The 20,734-nt window shown below is 38.5% G+C and overlaps 3 protein-coding genes and 1 long non-coding RNA gene across 17 annotated transcripts in view, besides 2 other annotated features; 2 read left to right on the forward strand and 2 right to left on the reverse strand.

Annotated features, from left to right (window-relative positions):
- The window catches only part of CHPT1 (choline phosphotransferase 1), a 31,435-nt gene extending 29,725 nt beyond the window's left edge, over positions 1-1,710 (forward strand). For all 5 annotated transcript variants that reach the window (XR_245946.3, XR_001748818.2, NM_020244.3 and 2 more), the window contains one exon: positions 1,537-1,710. Coding sequence is in view for 3 of the 5 variants with exons in the window: in NM_020244.3 (NP_064629.2) it covers positions 1,537-1,581 (45 nt within the window). In the remaining 2 variants the exon portion in view is untranslated. The remainder of the gene's footprint in view (positions 1-1,536) is intronic.
- Positions 1,284-12,098, reverse strand: SYCP3 (synaptonemal complex protein 3). Of its 9 annotated transcripts, none has more exons than NM_001177948.2 (9): positions 11,998-12,098; positions 10,439-10,584; positions 9,868-9,934; positions 9,673-9,707; positions 7,563-7,680; positions 6,211-6,310; positions 4,204-4,302; positions 1,745-1,849; positions 1,284-1,616 (listed from the first exon to the last, which is right to left on the reverse strand). In NM_001177948.2, exons 2-9 carry the CDS (start codon positions 10,569-10,571, stop codon positions 1,563-1,565), a joined length of 711 nt encoding a protein of 236 aa, NP_001171419.1. In that variant the 5' UTR covers positions 10,572-10,584; positions 11,998-12,098; the 3' UTR covers positions 1,284-1,562. The 9 variants fall into 9 exon arrangements, with proteins under 9 accessions (NP_001171419.1, NP_710161.1, NP_001171420.1 ...); NM_153694.5 differs by having other exon boundaries at positions 11,987-12,098; NM_001177949.2 differs by having other exon boundaries at positions 10,439-10,588; positions 11,987-12,098.
- Positions 16,394-16,483: an enhancer, noted in NCBI's record as "active region_6865". NCBI's record gives its function as "activates an Ori minimal core promoter by ATAC-STARR-seq in GM12878 lymphoblastoid cells {active_cell/tissue: GM12878}" and the evidence as "EXISTENCE:reporter gene assay evidence [ECO:0000049][PMID:35858748]".
- Positions 16,604-16,713: an enhancer, noted in NCBI's record as "active region_6866". NCBI's record gives its function as "activates an Ori minimal core promoter by ATAC-STARR-seq in GM12878 lymphoblastoid cells {active_cell/tissue: GM12878}" and the evidence as "EXISTENCE:reporter gene assay evidence [ECO:0000049][PMID:35858748]".
- On the forward strand, positions 16,626-17,603 carry LOC124902997 (uncharacterized). Its single transcript, XR_007063424.1, has 2 exons — positions 16,626-16,665; positions 17,424-17,603. It is a non-coding gene; the product is annotated as an uncharacterized LOC124902997 (long non-coding RNA).
- GNPTAB (N-acetylglucosamine-1-phosphate transferase subunits alpha and beta) overlaps positions 18,135-20,734 on the reverse strand; it is an 85,461-nt gene continuing 82,861 nt past the window's right edge. For both annotated transcript variants that reach the window (NM_024312.5, XM_011538731.3), the window contains exon 21: positions 18,135-19,877. In NM_024312.5, coding sequence (NP_077288.2) covers positions 19,800-19,877 — 78 coding nt within the window. In that variant the 3' untranslated portion in view covers positions 18,135-19,799. The remainder of the gene's footprint in view (positions 19,878-20,734) is intronic.

Here is a 20,734-nt window from a genome sequence, read left to right on the forward strand (position 1 = left end):
CTCATTATGAATACTACTAGAACTATCACAAAGATCTCTGGGGATCCAAATCTTCAGATTCCCATCTGACCCTATTTATTTTTAATTTTATATAATAGTTCAACAGACCATATGTCATATGATGAAGTAATCAAAAAAAAAAAAAAGGAGTAATTTGTGTACTACATCTGTTTTAGGCAAGAAAAAGGTATATTGAAGAAAACAGTGAAAGATGATATTCCTTAAAAGCAAAAAAACATACTTATGGGAATTAAGTACACAGAAAACACTGGAGTACTTATTTTGCCTCTAACTAACTATTGGTAAAACTTCCCAAATAAGGACTTTCTTACAAGGATGAATAGTACTTATGATTTATATTCTAATAATATATACTTTGGCTTAAAAGGAAAATCCTTTACAAAGTTCAAAAATTTAGGAAATAATGTCAAATATTCGTTAATGGTGGAAGACTAATTTCTTCCTGTACAAGTAGGTTGTCACAATTAGAAAAAGTTTATCTGTAGGCACCTGTTTTTTTAAAACTTGGAAAACCTTATTATAACTAAGATAAGGGTGAGTTATACAGGCAAAAATTAGAATTTAAAACATAGAAAAGCAGGAGGCCAGGCATGGTGGCTCACACCTGTAATCCCAGCACTTTGGGAGGCCGAGGCGGGCAGATCATTTGAAGTCAGGAGTTCGAGACCAGCCTGGCCAACATGGCGAAACCCCGTCTCTACTAAAAATACAAAAATAAGCTGGGCGTGGTGGCAAGTGCCTGTAGTCCCAGCTACTTGGGAAGCTGAGGCAGGAAAATCGCTTGAACCTGGGAGGCGGAGGTTGCAGTGAGCTGAGATTACTCCACTGCACTCCAGCTGGGGTGACAGAGTGAGACTCCATCTCAAAAAATAAATAAACGCAGATGTGATATATATAAACCATAAGAAATTAGGTATGTTAATGATGTGCTCTTAATTTAATTGCAGACCAAGCCCAATGAAGTGACATTATGTCTTTGTGGCAATGACATATTCACAAATCCATGTCTTAAAACTGTTATTTATATATTGTTCTATTGCTAGTGATTTAATGTTCAGAGGTTAATGATTTTAGCAATTTATTCCAGAACACAAATTTAAATGCATCTTATTGTCATTAGAATCGGTTGTACAACTTAAGTATATAGAAAAGGATGTACATGTAAAATAGATTTTGTATTCCGTTTTTTCCTTAAAGAACATAACCTTCTATACTTGGTTTTCTACCTTTTGGGATTGATAGAGATACAATGAAGCCAAACCTAAAATTAAATCGTCTTTATTTAATTGACAGTGTTAGAGAGAAAAATTCACTATCATTACTAAAGAGCTGAAAGCTTAATACATATTCTTTAGGAATAGTTGCTAACTAACTCATAACTATTTAGATTTGACTTAACAGAAAGGGAGGTCTTACAATGAAACAGGTTTATGATTAAAGATGTTACAATTAAACTATTCTAAAGACTTACAATATGCTTCTTAGCTAACGTTATAATTGTATCATATTACTTAGGTTCAAGTTCTTTCTTCAAAGAGTCATCAGAATAACATGGATTGAAGAGACTTCCGAACACTTGCTATCTCTTGCTGCTGCTGTTTCATGGAAGGAGATATTAAACATTTGTTTAATTTTTATTTAAGTGTTATACCTATTTCAGCAAATAAAATATTTCATTGCTTATATTAATCCTTATTTTTTCAATTTCAATATGATCACTTACAGTTTCCATCATAATTTTTTTTTGCAACATAGCCATTTCTTTTTTAAATTCATTTTGTGCACCAGTAAGTAGATTATCATGATTCTTCTCCAACTCTTCCATACTCTAAAAACACAAAAGACAAGTTAAGTTACAAAGGACCACTTTTCATCTCAGGTTCTAAACTTGTACAATTAATTTTCAAAAGTAGTAATTTTTGAATATTCAAATGCTCATCTATTTGAAATAAAAATATTCTAAGTAATACATGAATACCAAAATACCTACTAAAAAAGAAAAAATATAAGACATGAATAAAATGTTATAGGAAGTACAATGTAGTATACTTTGCCCACAATGGGTTTCCTGAACTGTTAAGGTCAAGATAAAAAAGACTGGAAGTCCCACATCAGTAAAAACCATTTCTATTAAGCTTTCCAAATATCAAGCAATAATCTACTTATGACTAATAGTGTGCCATGAATTCACTAGAGGGAATAAAATAATCTATAGTACAACCTCTTTCACATTATGAAAAATAAAAATTATGTCTTACGTCTTTATTATTCATTCAACAAACAGTTAATCTGGTGCCTACTATGTAAAAGGTGTGTATTAAGTGCTGTAGAGAAATTAAAAAACAATAATACATGATTGCTTCCTGATGGCAATGAGAAAAAAACATAGGAACAAAACAAAAATTTTATAATAGGAATGGAAGCACAACTTGCTGTGGTGATATAGTGGAAAATGGGGATTAATTCCAATTTAGTGGGCAAAATACTAAGATTTCAATAGATAAAGAAAAAGGAGTTAAATATATTCTAGGGGAAGGGCATAAGCAGAAGCATGGAAGTACATAGTGAGCTGAGAGAAAGCAGTTATGTGGAGGGGTGGGGTAATGAACAAATGTAGTAAATGAAGCTTAAAAAGAGGGTCATGTCATAGGGGGATCTTCAATACCTAAGAATTTAGAACAGGAGGCTACTGACAGTTTTTCAAGAGGGAAGAGATATATTTTTAAAAGATAATATGGCAGATCTAGGAGGGATAGATTGGAGAACAGAGACATCAGTTAAGAATTTTAATGGTACAAGCAAATAATAATGAGGTCCTAAACTAGGGTAGTAGCAGTGGGCATTAAAAGAAAGAACCACTGCAGAAGTAAAAATTACAGGGCCTAGTAATAACTGGATGTGACAGAGAAAGGAGATGGAAGAGTCAAAGGTTATACTATAGTTCCTATCCTAAATAGTAACATTTAGTGATAACATTTAGAAGAAATCTTTATCTAGTACTTTATCAAAACTTCACACCAACTACCAAATGGTTCTCAGAGCATTGGAACAAGACAACAAGTTTTCCACTTGGAAATACTTTTTAAAATAACATGTGTGTGTATAATTTTTTTTTTTTTTTTTTTTTTGAGGCAGGGTCTCGCTGTCGCCCAGGCTGGAGTACAGTAGTACGATTTCAGCTCACTGCAACCTTTGCCTCCAGGGCTCAAGTGATCCTCCCACCTCAGCCTTCCCAGTAGCTGGGACTACAGGTGAGTGCCACCATGCCCAGCTATTTTTGTTTGTTTGTTTGTTCTTAATAGAGATGGGGTTTTGTCATGTTGCTCAGGCTGGTCTTGAAACCCTGGGCTCGAGTGATCTCGCCTTGGCATCCCAAAGTGTCAGCCACTGTGCTCGGCCATATATATTAAAGTTATTCTGAAATATTTATTTTAAAACAATTTTGCTAGTTTACTTAGAGCATCCCAATTCCTTTAATGTTATTTTAACATGTATTTGCACAAGACTATCTAAAGGAACCACCACTGAAAAAAAGTATATGCAAGATTCCATTGAGCTTCTATGAATAGTTACTAAAAAGTATATTTCTGCCTGAACAAGAGGGGTACAGACTACAATTTGCTAATATGTATGTGTCAGTAGATAATTATCAATCCACAGACTTTTAATCCTCAGATGTCTATTATATCTGTTATTTTATGTTGGATATAAATTCATTTTTGGTCACTGTAATAATTCTAAAAGCAAATGTGCCATAAAATACTTCTATAATACATTTGAAAACAAGAGAATTCAATAATTTGGGTACTTTCTATTTAACAAACACTGGGGATAAAAAAACAAGTAAAATACAACCTAAAAATGATTATTATAGAGTCTATTTTCACTTAAACAGAGAACTATGACTGAAGTGTTATTAAAGTATGGATTTTATGCATGATAAGTATATTTCTAAGTAAAATTCCCAATTTACCATTTCCTGTCTTGAATAATCCCAACAAAACCATTTGAATCCTCAAGTAAAAATATATTTATCACTTAAATCAGAAACAATGAATTCAAAATGGAAAAGTAGTTAAAGTCTAAAATGTTTTTTCCCATAAACTTAGAAAGAATTATCTTCTACTTCCATAAATATATTATGTTTTATAACGATGTATTGTGTTACCACATACAACAAACCTTTATGAACTGCTCATATAACTGTTTAATTGTTTTCAATCTCTGGCTCTGAACAATTCTAGATTGTTGAAGAATCTTTTGTTGCTGTCGAAACATATTCTACAAATATAAAAGAAAAAAAACTGTGTAATAACAATTTGGGTAAAATTTTAAATTTAGAAAAAATAATTCTACATTAAACTTAAAAGAAAGTGTTAAAAATCAATGCTTTTAAAATTTTAACAACTATTATGACCACATTTAGATAATTTATGTTCACCACTAATATGTAACAATATATTAATTCTACCAGTTGCTGAATGGGAAATTTTAACAATAATCAAGTCATGTCTTAATTCTTGGTGATTTCAATGTCCACACAGATGATCCTTCCAATAATAATGGTTTTCCGTTTCGTGACCTGTTTCTCAATGATTTTGGCCTCTACCCTACTTTAGCCATTGACTTACATACTCCCACCCTAGATTTTGTCATTACTAATAATTCTAACCACTACACAGTATTAGTAATGGTAAACTTTCTAAGAGATAGATACTCAGCATTCCCCTTTCATAGATGAGTAAACTGAGGCATAATCTGTCCATGGTTTCACAGCTACAATTGCTCAAACAAGAATTTGATCCAAAACAGTATTGTTGCTGGCATCCAGGCTCTAACCATTATACATACTGTTTCTCTGTCTATCCTAGTATTTAACCACTACTTCTTTACCATTCTAACTTACTCTTTTTAGTACTACAGCTCAATAATCTATCAGTGCCACAAATCCATCCTATCTATTTTACACTGTCATCCCTACCCCCAATATCCTCACTTGCAGGTAACACAAGTCTGGCCATTAAAAGTCAACAATGTTCTGACTACAGACATCCTTAGGTATCCTGGGGGGACCAGTTCCAGGACACCCAACCCCTCAGGAGACCAAAATGTGCAGATGCTCGAGTTCCTGTTACAAAATGGCATCATATTTGCATATAACCAATGCACATCCTTCCACATACTTTAAATCATTTCTAGATCTCTTATAATACCTAACACAATGTAAATGCTGTATAGTTGTAACACTGGATTATTTTTCCAATTTGCATTTTTTCTTTTTTCTTTTTTTTTTTTTTTCAAGAAAGGGTCTCCCTCTGTCACCCAGGCTGGAGTGCAGTGGCACAATCTCGGCTCACTGCAGCCTCCGCCTCCCAGGTTCAAGTGATTCTCCCGCCTCAGCCTCCTGAGTAACTTGGATTATAGGCACACGCCATCACAGCCCGGCTAATTTTTGTATTTCTAGTAGAGATGGGTTTTCACCATATTGGTCAGGCTGGTCTCAAACTCCCAACCTCAGGTGATCCACCCGCCTCGGCCTCCCAAAGTGCTGGGATTACAGGCATGAACCACCACCACGCCCAGCCTTTTCCAAATATTTTTCATCCACGATTGGTTGAATACACAGATGCGGAACCCTTATATACAGAGGGCTAACTATACAATGATTGGTTCAAGAATGGGCAAATGATCCAAACTCCCATCAGTCATATTTTCCCAGAGGAATTTTTTGCCAGAGCTATTGAGAAAGATTTTCTCAGTCCACTGGGGTTACTAAACTTGTAATAAGCCTAGGACTGTAAAAACTATCTTGCTTACTACATCAAGACACCTTACTAAGTACTGATGACAGAACCCAGATGACACTACATGAGCAACCCCCTCCCTGTTCCCATCTGGCTATGCCTGAAGCTAAACTGCCCCGACTTCTTTTACATAAACCAATGATCCTTCTTTTGTACTTTGACAAATTTCTGTCACTTGGAAATGCAGGAACCCCAAACAATATAAATGCCTTTTATGAGTATGGTATGTGCCTATACGTCTGTGGTTTACAGTTCAGTAGGTTTAAAACACATGGCCAGCAATGGTTAATGAAACCTGGCTCAGTTCCACTGGTCACAATAAAAGGCTAGGTTGTCCATTCCTACTTGAGACTTGGTTGATTATAAACCTAATCATGATACCAACAAGTATTTTTTCTTCTTGTTCCTCAGCTTTCTGCATATCTAAATCCCACTGCTGAAACAAAGTCAGAAACTGCTGAGAATATTCTTGGTTAAGCTTCTGCCTGTAAAACATAATGATGAATTATTGTCATATTTCATACCAATATAAAAAGAATTTAAAACAAAACTGAGTTGACACAGTTATACTATATAAGAAAAGGAAATACCTGCAGCTTAAGTCTTCTGATGGGAAACCAAAAAGTAAAATTATGATTTACACTGATTCCAGAAGTATTTTTTTTCTAACAAACTAATAGAAGAAAAGCCCTGTCACAAGCTTTAGCTCTTGAAAACTAAGGAAGTTTTATTGTATATATAAATTTTCAAAAAGAAATTCATCTGATCTCTAAGCAGTTTATTTTTCATTTTTTTCCTATTGAATATAGATTCTGATATAACAAATACATTAAATAAGGTGATTGTATTTATCCTATAAGATTTCTAAATAGAAATAGTTCGCTTAATTTTTTTCCCTATTTTGGCTTAACAAAAGATTTTATACAAAAGAAGAGTTAAGTCAGCTAAAACATACAAATTATATACGATACAAGATTGGTGTTCTTCTACATTGTTGAACATAATTCACCATCATAAGACTAACGGTTTTTATGACATTTACCTTTTATTCAACTAGTGTATTTCTAGAATGAACATAAATTACTTTTAGGCTGGGCATGGTGGTTCATGCCTATAATCCCAGCACTTGGGAGGCTGAGGTGAGAGGATCGCTTGAGCCTAGGAGTTCAAGACCAGCCTGGGCAACATAATGAGACCCCCATCTCATAAAACAACAACAAAAAACGAAATTACTTTTATAACCTCACTTGTTACCTAAAAGGAAAAAAGTGATCTTTATTGATTTTTTAGGAAATAATGTCAATTCTATGAAGGAGTGAGGTTATAGGGCTACAGGACTATCATACTTAGAGAAAAATCAAGCCAAATACATTTTCACTAGAAACCCCAGTAACTAGAATAGTATTTTTCTTTTCTTGTTTTTTTTGACAGAGTCTCACTCTGTTGCCCAGGCTAGAGTGCAGTGTCACGACCTTGGCTCACTGTAACCTCTGCCTCCTAGGTTCAAGCGAGCACGCCTGGTTAATTTTTGTATTTTTAGTAGAGATGGAGTTTCACCATGTTGGCCAGGCTGGTCTCTAACTCCTGACCTCAAGTGATCTGCCTGCCTTGGCCTCCCAAAGTGCTGGGATTACTGGCATGAGCCACCGTGCCGATCCTAGAATAGTATTTTTCATAAGTAATTTATACCAGTAAATACTAAGAAATGTGGCTCTAAAAAAAAAGCAACCACCTTACCTTTGATCTTGTTGTGTTTTCCAAACATGTTCAATTTTCTGGTTACTAGTTTTGAGAGAAGCCTTGGTATACATTTCTAGTCTCTTTCTCTTGGCAAGAAGAGCCTTGTTAATGTCAACTAGATTGAAAATAAAAATTCATTAAAATTTAATGTTGAAAAAAGTATTTTGTTCCCACATATTCAAGTAAATATGGGTAAGGTTGGTTCAACAATATTGGAAAGACATTTAAACTTAAATTTAGAAATAGGCATAATTTCAAAATGCAGAATTGTTTGCTTACTTTTTTTTTCTGAGAAAACTCTCAGCTACTAGCACCCAAATTCTGATTTTCCTAACTGGAGATAATTTTTTAACTTAGGAACAATAAAAAAGAGCTAATAAACAAAACAATGTGTCAAGGACAGACTTTAAATTTCCCCATGAGAAAACACTGTTAATAAAGGCTAAATGTAGGCCAGACGCGGTGGCTCACACCTGTAATCCCAGCACTTTGGGAGTCTGAGGCAGGCAGATCACAAGGTCAAAAGATCGAGACCATCCTGACCAACGTGGTGAAAGCCTGTCTCTACTAAAAATACAAAAATTAGCTGGGCGTGGTGGCGCACACCTGTAGTCACAACTACTTGGCAGACTGAGGCAGGAGAATCGCTTGAACCCGGGAGGCAGAGGTTGCAGTGAGCTGAGATTGCACCACTGCACTCCAGCCTGGGGACAGAGTGAGACTCCGTCTCAAAAATAAAAAAAAATTTTTAAAAAGGCTAAATTTATCTAAATTTATAAAATACACCCCAATTAAAAGGACACATTTCAATGAATTATTGTTAGAACTCATTATAGAAAATATGTAAAAGTACTCTATTAGAAAGAATCCAAAAAGGATAAAAATAGTTAAAGAAGAAAACTATTTTTAATATAATCAATTTTATATATATATATATATATATTTTTTTTTTTTTAAAGACACGGGGGTCTCACTATGTTGACCAAGCTGGTCTTGAACTCCTGGCCTCAAGCAATCCTCCTGCCTTGGCCTTCCAAAGTGCTGGAATTACAGGTGTGAGCCCCTGTGCCTGGCCATCAATGATACTTTTAAATACATTTTTTACTAAGAGACAAAGACCAAGGACAGAAAAAAATCTTAGTTTAAGTAAATTTCTAGATAAATTAAGATCACTTTATTTTTCAATGAGAAATAGGTGAATAAGATCAGTTTTAAATGCTTTTGTGGAGCTCTTTATTGGGCATTTTTACCCATAAGAACTGCATTTCATAAAATGTTTACTACTTCAAATAATGCTTTGCTAAACATAAGCCTTTATCTTATGGATCTACCATAAATAGGTATCTTTCAGTAATCATGCTGTAGCTGCACTATTACATAAATATTTTATACTTTCAGTATTATCTATAATAAATTTATAAAACAAGCACTGTTTCACCACCGGACAGAGCAAAGGTTTCAAAAAAGAGTTGACTGTATGAACAATCCATTTAGAGGAGCTAAATATTAACTCTTTTTTAAGATAACTAATCTCTAACAAAGCTCATATTATTGATACTTAATATATTATTTAAAACTTGAGAATTTTTGAACCTAATTATAAAACTCTATCTAGCAAAATTGTCTTTAGTATCAACTACATAGTTTATTAATGTAAAAAGAGTTATTTTAGAGGCTTAATTTACACTGTCCTCCCTAAAGAAAATAGCATAGGAAGTCAGAAAATAACTAAACTGAAAAAATGAAAAACTTATATACAAATATATGTATGTATGTATATGTGTGTGTGTGTGTGTGTGTGTGTGTGTGTGTATCACTTAGTCTGTGAATACAAAGAAGGGTAAAGACTTTTCCTGTGCATTTTTCTTCTAAAATTCCATAGTCCATTAAATTCACATATGTATAAAATACCATTCACTCTTAACATCATGGAAAAGATTAACTATGAAAATCTGTGATGCTAAATCACAAATACTTATGCAGAATCTTCTATGTGAGAACAAGGCATTAAATAACAGTCTTATAGTCCATTATTAACATTTGTTATTATACAAATTATATGGCTTAAAACAATTTTCTTTAAATACAAGTATCTCCTAAAACCTACCTCCAACTCCTTCCAGCATATTCTGCACTTCACCCCTGGAAAGAAATTACATTTTAAACACTTTAGAAGATCCACAACATACCATGCTTGTTTTGGAAGAAATACCAGATGCCAAGTATTTTACATATATTATTTGTTAGCAACTTTTCTTGAAGTGCTTTATCTAAGAAACAAAAATTATTTTGAACACGTTACCCCATATCTTCAACTACTCCTGCAGAAGACCTTTTCTTCCTACGTTTCTCAATGACTGCAGTCTTCCCTGTATTGACAATTAAAAAAAAAAAAAAAAAGCTTTTGAAACTGAATAGGTTATTTTGGTAAATTTTAATGAAACATCTTCATTTGGGGATTTTTAGGCTTTTTGCCAACATACAGTTTCAAAGCAGACATAAAAATGCAATATTCTCTGCAGGTTAGGTGAAATTAAATCAGGATTCAGGACCATTTTATAGGAATAATTTTTCAAGTCTCCCTGGGTTAATGTCACAGTAAGCCACATACTATATATCAGATATTTTGGAAATAACTGCAAAAGCAAGAGTTGCCGAATAAGCTTCTGTAACTCCGATACTGCAATATAAGGATCAAATGAGAAACACAAGTACAGCTGGCCATCCGTGTCAGCAGGTTCTGTAACCACAAATACCGGGGGAGGGAAGACCATACCTGAAAATGCTTTACAAACTAAGTTGTACGATAGTCTCAATGGGTTCAAAACAAATGAACTGAAGGACATCACTGCCCAACATGAGATGTACTGCACCTTCAATAACATCTTCCTCTGATCCACTCAGATCTTTCTTATCTTCAGTCTCAAAGTCATAGGCTCTCGTAAACTGATCTTCCACAGACGGCTTCCCAGATTTCCTGGAATACTTTTTTCCGGAGGACACCATATTTAGATGCTTCCTGACTTTAAAAAACAAATTTCTTTAACCTTCTGAATGCAAAGACATCATTTTAATACACTGGTAAAAGTTTAAATATCAAAGGAGATATCGAACAAGGATTGTTGAATACAATTTTAACAGTTTCCTCATTTATTTGGGGGGCCAAAAGTTAAGAAGATAATGACATTTGTTAAAAAATAATAAAATAAATAGGCCAAGCACGGTAGCTCACGCCTGAAATCCCAGCACTTTGGAAGGTTGAGGCAGGCAGATCACCTGAGGTCAGGAGTTCAAGACCAGCCTGGCCAACATGATGAAACCCCGTCTCTACTGAAAAAAAAAAACAAAATTAACCGGGCGTGGTGGCACGTGCCTGTAGTCCCAGCTGCTCAGGAGGCTGAGGCAGGAGAATCGCTTGAACCCGGGAGACAGAGGTCACAGTGAGCCAAGATCGCAGCCACTGCACTCCAGCCTGGGTGACAAGAGTGAAACTTCGTCTCAAAAAAAAAAAACAACAACAGAAATGGCCGGGCGCTGTGGCTCATGCCTGTAATCCCATCACTTTGGGAGGCCGAGGTGGGTGGATCACCTGAGGTCAGGAGTTTGAGACCAGCCTGGCCAACATGGTGAAACCCCGTCTCTACTAAAAATACAAAATTAGCCGGGCGCGGTGGCGGGTGCCTATGATCTCAGTTACTCAGGAGGCTGAGGCAGAAGAATCGCTTCAACCCGGGAGGCGGAGGTTGCAGTGAGCTGAGATGGCCCCACTGCACTCCAGCCTGGGCGACAGAGTGAGACTTCGTCTCAATCAATCAATCGATGAGAGAGAATGACAGTGTCCACCCCGACTCCAAGCGCGCAGTGCTGGAGAGGTGGCCCCTGAGGCCTGGGAGTTCCAAATTTTGGGGCCGCCTCTGCCAGATTCTGGCTAAATCTGGGCAACTCTAGCAGGGCGCTCAGTCACGCGGGGAAATTATAGTTGCTGGCGGGACACGACATGAGGATGCCAGAAATAAGCTCATAATAATCAAGACAAATAATAAAAACGTCCCGCAATTTAGGTCTCGGAAAATGAACACAGGCAGAAGATTTCGACAACAAATACATCGAGGAACCACGAAAGGCGCCCTCGGCGTGGAGCGGGCAGGAGGGAGACGCGCGGAGCGAGGTAGGGCCCTGCCCGGCCCCGCCGCGTCCCTCCTGTAAGTGGTCCCAGGGTGTAGCGATGGGGCCCAGCCCCAGCCCAGCCCGCCCGCTTTCCACTAGGCCCTATCCTGCTCAAGGCCCTGTCCTCAGGTTCGCGGCCTCCGTTTTCTCGTCAGAGGCCCCAGGCGACGCCAGGAGGTAAGATTTACCTCACTGGTCAAGGGCAGCCTCTGGCCTGGACACCTGCGATAGACAGACGCCTCCCCTGCTCACACCTGAAACACACCGCAATGGCCGAGGACCAGTTACTGGTCGTCGACAGGCGTCCTCCACAACTCCTCCACAAGCGCGCTTCACCTGAGGTGGCCCCTTCTCCGCGACGCTTCTGAGGCAAGCTGGGATTCGCACAGGAGAAAAGCCAGTCCCGCCTCATCCGGACACGTCGCTGATTGGCTGGACGCAGAGCGCAGGCGTGAACTGGGTGGCGAGGCTCCGCCCCCATGGGGCGATTGCGCGCCCAAATAGCTGGCCCAGGGTGCTTTGGCCGCCGGAGCGGGTTGCGAGTACACTTGAGGCCTGGTGCCTTCCAGTTTTTAAGTTTTAAATGTTTATAATCGAAAATTGCAGCTAGGCGCAGTGGCTCACACCTGTAATCCCAGCACTTTGGGAGGCCGAGGCAGACGGATCACTTGAGGTCAGGAGTTCCAGACCAGCCTGTCCAACATGGCGAAACCCATCTCTACTAAAAATACAAAAATTAGCCGGACGTGGTGGCGGGCGCCTGTAATCCCAGCTACTTGGGAAGCTGAGGCAGGAGAATCGCTTGAACCCGGGAGGCAGAGGTTGCAGTGAGCAAGACCATGCCATTGTACTCCAGCCTGGGCAACAGAGTGAGACTCCATGTCAAGAAAAAAAAAAAGAAAATTGCGGAATAATATGTAAATTATGAAACATGATGAACATACCACCTAATTTATGAAGTAGGGCTTTACCAACATTCACTGAATCTCCTCAGGCAGGCCTTTCCATCCGATCCTCACCAGGACCCCACCCTTCCCCATTCAGGGATATAAGAAAATTATCCTAAATTTATGTAAATCATTCACCCTTCCTTATTTTCTAAGTTTTATTACCACATGAAAATGTGTCGTTAAACAACACGGCTTAGTTTCGTTCGCGTTTGGCATTACAAAAAATTGTCCCATAGTCTATGTAGTGTTCTGACAGTCCACTAGAATGGCAAAACTACAAAATATGACTACACGGAGTGATGATGAATCTATGTAACAAAGGGAACCCATTCAGTGGGTGGGAGTATAATTGTAAAACAATTATTTGGTGTAACTGGAAATCACCTATCAATTGCAAAACAATTTTTGAAGATACAATTTATGAAGGAAATGAAACTCACCTATAATCCCACTACCCAGAAATAATATACAGTTTAAAATTGGGGGTATTATTGCCTTTCATCCTTTTTTCTGTGCTTATATGTATTTTCCCCCAAATAATTTTAAAATATATTTCAACCTTTGTACCTGCCTTAGTTTGCTCACAGCTCTGCAATCCTTTTTCTATTTGAAATCATACATTTTACTTTTTTTTTTTTTTTTTTTTTGAGACAGGGTTTTGCTCTCTTGCCAAGGCTGAAGTGCAGTGGCATGGCATGATCACGGCTCACTGCAGCCTTGATTTCCTGGGCCCAAATGATCCCCCTGTCTCTGCCTCCTGCGTAGCTGGGACTCATGCACGTGCCACCATGCCTGGCTAATTAAGAAAAAAAAAAAAAAAAAGTTTGCCGAGATGGGGTCTCACTATGTTGCCCAGGCTGTTCTCAAACTCCTAGGCTCAAATGATCCTCTCACCTCGGCCTTCCAAAGTGCTGGGATTACAGGCATGAGCCAACTTGCCTGGCCTATATTTTACTTCTTTAATATTTGGCAAAGGCTTCAGGATCTTATTGACGCCAATCACTTTTCAACTGCCTAGTTCAAGTAAGAGATTCAAAGGAACCCTCCTGTTTACTGTTTTGCTTTGAATCCTCTTCCTTATGATGCTCAGCATTCCACTGGCTCGTTTAAATACACCAGTGTATTGGGTAAGGAATGACGGATGACGACTCCCAGACTTGTTCCTGTAATTCCATTCACTACATCAAACCTGTTGATACAGGATACAGTGAACCTTGTAAATTTTTCATTACTGAAAGGATTCAAAAAAGTTTGTAAAGCGTTAGTACAGTACCTGCCACATAATAAATGTGCCATAAATGGTGGCTTTTATGATTGACAATTGGTCCCAATTGGAATCCTGCTTTTCCTCTCTTGCCAGCCTCATTCTTGGCCTCATACTGCATCAGCCACATTGCGTTTTCCCAAATGTGCTGTGCACTCTTATGCCTCCATACCCTTATAGATGCTGTTCTTATTAAGTAGTTCCATTCACTACATCATCATATTCAGTTGTTTTTCCTACAGTGACCCTTACAGAAGAGCATCTGTCATTTTTCTTCTTTATTCGTAATAAAAATTTCCCAAGATTATCTCCAGCACCTTGGCATTTCACTGCTGTAAAGAGCATGTCTGGAGATTTCACCATGTGCTTCAGCAGGTAATTTATAGATGATTTTTAACCCACACACCAATATTTCATGACCTGTCTCAGCATTCATTCTTAGATGACCACATTGTTAATACTTCCCCATATAGATCATCACCCATTTATTCCAATCATCTGGATTCCTAACAAAACATTTTCCCATTTTCTTTAGTAACCAATGGTGTAGAATCTTGTCATTATTGTTTGAAAACCTAAATATTACATCCCTTGTTTCCTTACTCAGTCTCAAAGAACTCAGGTAATATAGTCGAAATCTTAGAGGCCAGGAGCAGTGGCTCATGCCTGTAATCTCGGCACTTTTGGAGGCTGAGGTAGGAGGATCGTTTGAGCCCAGGAGTTTGAGACCAGTCTGGACAAAATGGTGAGACCCCATCTCTATTTATAATAATTTTTAAAAACTCATAGAAATGTCTCCATAGATAAACTACTCAGTAGGTAATAAGAACAGCATCTTTAAGGGTATGGAGGCATAAAAGTGCACAGCACATTTGGGAAAATGCAACGTGGCTGACACAATGAGGCCAAGAATGAGGCTGGCAAGAGAGGAAAATCAGGATTCCAACTGGCACCAATTGTGAATCATAAAAGCCACCATTTATGGCGCATTTATTATGTGGCAGGTACTGTACTAATGCTTTACATTTTTTTAAATCCTTTCAGTAATGAAAAATTTACAAGGTTCACTGTACTCTCTATCAACAGATTTGATTTTTCCAATTGCTTTCAAGTATGGCAGCTTGCCTTCACCTTGAGTACCTAATCCAGGAACTTGGTCTTCCACCTGCACCATCTCTAATCTGTGAAGCTGGAAGGTGATGTTTTGTAAGCCCAGCATCCCTCCCCTCCTTCCTTGGGTAAAAATCTCCATCCCTCTGGCTACAGAGGTGGGCACAGAGCCCAGAATGAGCCAATCACAGTAACTCATCTCCCACCAGGATTTTCTATATTGAAGCCAGAGAGGAAACTTCCTGCCTCTCTGGAGTATGTGAGCCAGGAACTGCCATGTCCTCACCAAGGAGAGAAAAGCTGATGTGCATAGAGAAGCACAGATAGACAGTGCTGAGCAATGGTTCAGGAAGAGTATCTTCCTCCTGTACCCCTCTTTGTTTTTCCTTAAGAAGCTTGAGTTAGATTTGTCCCTTGCAATCCAAGTTTATTTAGTGGCTAAAAATTAATTTTGTAGAGACTTGGGTGGAAAAGCTGTCTCTTAACTTAATAGACCTGAGGTGAGGCACTAAACCTAGTTAGGCCCCAGTTCCCTCACTGATAAGTGGGGATATGGTGTGGATGAAATGAGATTATGAACATAAAGCATTTAGCACATAGATTGTGTACAGTAAGATATAGCTGTTATTAGGGCAAGTGAGAGGAGAAAAGCAATTAGACTGACAAGAAGCCCCCTTCACATCCCTTTAACCACCATGGCTCTGTACTCCTGTCACAAGGAAGCCTGGGATTTCCCTTAAAACATATCACAAAGAAAAACGGAGCATGAATAAATGTGGCAAAGTCTTGATAACTGTTGAGCAGATGAGAATTCATCTATTGGTCTTTTTAAAATTTTTTATGATCTTTTTTAAAGAAAGATCTGTTGAGATTATCATCCAGTTTCTTTTGGTCCTGCTGATGTGGTGAATTGATTTTCAAGTGTTGGGCCAAATTTGCATTCCTGGAGTAGGCCCCACTTGACTGTGAAGTGTTGTTCTTCTGGGAATAACTGAATTTGGCCTGTTAGTATTTTGTTTGGGATTCTTTTGCAGTAGACTGCCCATGGTTTTTGTCTTGTGGTATCTGAGCCAAGTTTTACTGTTGGGGTTGTGTTTCAAGGGATGAGTTGGATGATACTGTATTTTGCTTTTTTCTGCTCTCTGGAAGAATTTGTGTGGGACTGGTGCTGTTTCTTCCTTAGATGTTTTGACGTAAGTAGTGATTACCCTTTAGTTTAAATGCTTAATCTGTTATTATTTGTATACTTCTTGGTATATGTAGAAATAATTTTCAAAATGAACACTTTTGCCAGGCACAGTGGCTCACACCTGTAATCCCAGCACCGTGGAAGGTCGAAGCAGGAGTATTGCTTGAGCCCAGGAGTTCAAGACAGCCTGGATAACAGTAAGACCCTGTCTCTACAAAAATATAAACAAAATTAGTCAGGTGTGGTGGAGCACATCTGTGGTCACAGCTGCTCAGGAAGCTGAGGTGAGAGGACTGCTTGAGCCTGTGAGGTTGACGCTGCAGTCAGCTGAGATCACGCCACTGCTCTCCAGCCTGGGGCAACAGAGTGAGATCGTCTCAAAAGAAACAAACAAACAAAAAACACTTTTGAAGACATAAGGTAGGTTAAAAAAATCCTTTGTAATTAGAAAATGTGTCACTTTTTTAGCTAAGAGCAATATAATCATCTCACCCTAATGACTAGACTAGGAGCCTCACCTCTGGCCTGGACAACAGTCTTTAACACGAATTTTCATCATTACCATCATCACCACTGACATTTAGCAGGCAGGACTATTTGCCAGGCACTGGGCTGCGTGTGTTGCACATGTCATTTCCTCTAATTATCACCATAAGCCTCTGTGGTAGCTACCAGTATTGCCTCCCACATTTTGGCAGAGAAAGCTAAATCACGGCAAGCAGTGTCCAGGATCCAGGACTTGAACTCCCGTAGTCTGACTGCAGAGTGTGCTCTTCACCCACATGTGCCACAGTCCTGGGGAGGCAGCATGGGCTGGTGGGGACAGGAAAGAGGGACAACCCGGGTTCCCACCCTACCTCTTCCTCTAACTGGTTGTAAGACCTTGAGCAAGTCATGTCATCCCCGTGGCCTTGGTGTCCTTGCCGATAAAAAGCAAGGGTTCGTCCAGACAGTTGTTTTGAAACTCTGCCCGAAGGGCCTGGGAGCTGGAGGGAACACCTTGAGAATCAGGCAGGAGAAGCAGCCTTCCTTCTTTTGTATCACAGAATTTTTATCTGTCCAAAATTCATGTTGAAACTTAACTGGCAATTTAAAAGTATTATGAGGTGGGGCTTTCAGAGGGTGATAAGTCATGGGAACAGAGCCCTCATCAATTCAATTAGATGTCTTTATTAAAGGGCTTGACAGAGGCAGTTTGTGCCTTCTTGCCCTTCTGCTCTGTGAGGACACGGCATTCAAGAAGCCATCTTAAAAGCAGAAAGCAGCCCTCACCAGACAACTAAACCTGCTAGCCCCTTGATCTTGGACTCTCGGCCTCCAGAACTGTAAGAAAATGAATTTCTGTTCTTTGTAAATTACCCAGTCTGAGGTATTTTGTTACAGCAGCACAAAAAAACTAAAACACAGAGTGACCTTTTCTATAGGATTTGAACAAATGGTTCTGACCATCTGACTGCTCATCAACTTCTGAGGTTCCTCTGTTCTAATGATTCTACTGAATCACAGAATCATTAGAATGAGTCTATGAATAGCCTATGATTGTATTATCCATCCCATTATCAAGCTCCTAATTAGGTATGGACTATATTCATCTAACCACAGAAATCGTCATTACAGACAAATGTTCATTTCTCTAACTTTTCTAGAATAAATCTCAGCTTTTATAATGATACCCAGATATCCTAAATTTTACCATATGATAAATTCCATTTAGAAACTATTTTCCCCCCATAAAGCAACATTCTTCTGTATAATACTAATCTTTCCTTACTTTCCACTTAATTTTAGTAATGTTCAGCACAGAACCTGATACACAGTAAAGGCACTCAAGTGACTGCTGAATCTGAGTAACAGTAAACTCAATCCTCAAAGATTTAAAAATCAAAGTGTCAGACAAAAATTTAACTTTTTATGAGATTTCAGTTTTTGAAATACACAACTCTTACAGCACAAACACAGTATTTACATTTCAAGTTCTTTGTACAAAAGATGTATGCCATTTTGGAAGAATATTGTTGAGATCATGATCTAAAATACCTGTCAGAGTTACTCATGGAATCTGCTCTTCACAAATCCATTGTATTATGACATAAAATATGGCTAGACGCCAAGGTTTAACCATACATAAAAATACTAATTCTCGGCTGGGTGCACTGGCTTATGCCTGTAATCTCAGCACTTTGGGAGGCAGAGGCAGGTGGATCACCTGAGGTCAGGAGTTCAAGATAAGCCTGACCAATATGGTGGAACCCCCGTCTCTACTAAAAATACAAAAATTAGCAGGGTGTGGTGGCATGCACCTGTAGTCCCAGCTACTCAGAAGGCTGAGACAGAACTGCTTGAACCCGGGAGGCGGAGGTTGCAGTGAGCTGAGATTGCGCCACTGCACTCCAGCCTGGGCAACAGAGAGAGACTCTGTCTCAAAAACAACAACAACAACAACAACAAAAACTAATTCTCAGTGATTGGCAAATGATGGCCTGAGGGTCACATCTGGCTGGTGGGCAGTTTTTGTACAGCTGCAAGCTAAACATGGTTTTTACATTTTTAGAGGGTTGTTTGAAAAAAAACAAACTAAACAACAGCAAGAAGAATGTATGACAAAGACACAGGTGGCCTGCAATAATTTACTAACCAGCCTTTTACAAAGAAAGTTTGCTGGCCTCTGTTCTATCAAAAACCAACTGAGAGAGATAGCTACTGGAATATACCAATGAGTATTAAACAAGACACCACTGTAATGTGCCAGTGCCATCAGCACTACTCATTTCTAAAATGAGGCACTTCTGTTTGAATATGTACATTTCCAAAACATAATTACATCTGGTAAGTAGTACTAACTCTAGCCCTTTGAAATTAGACCTGCACGTGAAATCATAGCATTCTTAGGGGCTGAAGTCAATAATTACAAAGCATTTCAGATGTCAATCATTGAGCTCTTCAGTAGTTAGTGGTTTAAGACCATTTACAGTCTTAAATATTAATAAAACTCATAATTTAGGTATTGTCAATAAGAGGTGATATTGCTGCATTATTTAAATAACATCTATAAAAATAGGTTTAGACATCCCAATTCGTTATACTCAGAAGCAAGAATAACTAGTTAACTTAGTAACTACTTAAAAATGGGAAATGAAAAAAAAAAAGTGCAAAACTTTAGCAAAAGGCTTTGGAATGCAAAGACTGGAGCCTCTTAGCAATCACTCCCAGCTGGCATAGGCTTCTCCTAATAAAGTTAGTCTGCAATGATTGCTGTGGGAAATTAACAGCTGTCTCTTGTCAGTGAGCCTTTTTATAAAAAGGATGACAGGTCCATGAGCAAATTCTTTAAAAGTAAAATCAGTTCAGAGCTGCTCAACACACAAGTTTTCAGTGGGTTGGTTAAATAATTCCTGGTCAGTGGGCTATATTCATGCCACAAAACAGCATGGTACTGGATATTTTCCTTCTTCGGGCCAAACTGCTAAGCATCACATCACAAAGACATCTCTGTGAAGCTGAGTTTTAAAATGCTCAGTAAATGCTGAGGTAGATGGTTTTCAAATGAAGATCTTCTATACTCTGATTCGATTGGGACTAGCTTCTTTGTGTATCCTCCTTCTGGGAAATATCTTCCGCTTAAGTGCAATTAACTAAATGATGAAAGACAGAAAATACATTTTAATTCTCACGTTGATGAAAGAATATAAGTGCATCAAACTTTCTAAGAGCCATATGACCTTAATCATTTCCACAATCTTATACATTAAAAAGACAACAAACAAATCTCCATCATTCCTCTTCCAAAACAAAAACAAATATTAGTTTTGTTTAGCTTTGTAGGGACAGTATGCCTAGATATGTGCCCACAAAGAGACCCAAGAGGATTAAAATTATTTCGGCCCATGCTTCATTTTTCTAAGACCTACAACTACAGATTTTTACACAGCTATTACCAAAGCATATTTATTTTCAAGATGTCCATTTGTCAAGTCTTTCTATTGAAGGAAACTGGCTCTATTTAGCCATAAGACACTGTCTCTGGGTTGATATGATGGCTTATTCCTTCATCTGTAGGAGGAGGCAGGGCTTTGCCCAAACATAAGACACCACGGTTTGAATGATGAGCTGGAATTTGGGAGGGGAGGAAGAGGCAGCATTGGCTGCTTTGTTTGTGAAGGTGGCAGGTATGGCAGGAGGAAGGAGTTTGACTCCAGTAGAGAGCAGAGTGTTGGGATTTAACCTGCCCTTCCCTTCCCTCTTCCTGCCTCTCTAGTTCCCTATTCTCTACTGGTATAGATAGACTGGTATAGATAGAGGAAAGACTGCCTCTCTAGTTCCCTATTCTCTACTGGTATAGATAGAGGAAAGACTGACACTCCTCTTCCTTTCCATTAATGGCTGCTCCTTTGAGTCAGGGCTCCTTTCCTTCCCCATCCTAGGTCAGCACAGCAGACTCAAAGGTTTCTCACTGGACCCTGTTCTAAAAGCAGGTACAGCCTTTCTGAGA

This window comes from Homo sapiens, chromosome 12 (assembly GCF_000001405.40).
Source record: "Homo sapiens chromosome 12, GRCh38.p14 Primary Assembly".
Taxonomy (NCBI): Eukaryota; Metazoa; Chordata; class Mammalia; order Primates; family Hominidae; genus Homo; species Homo sapiens.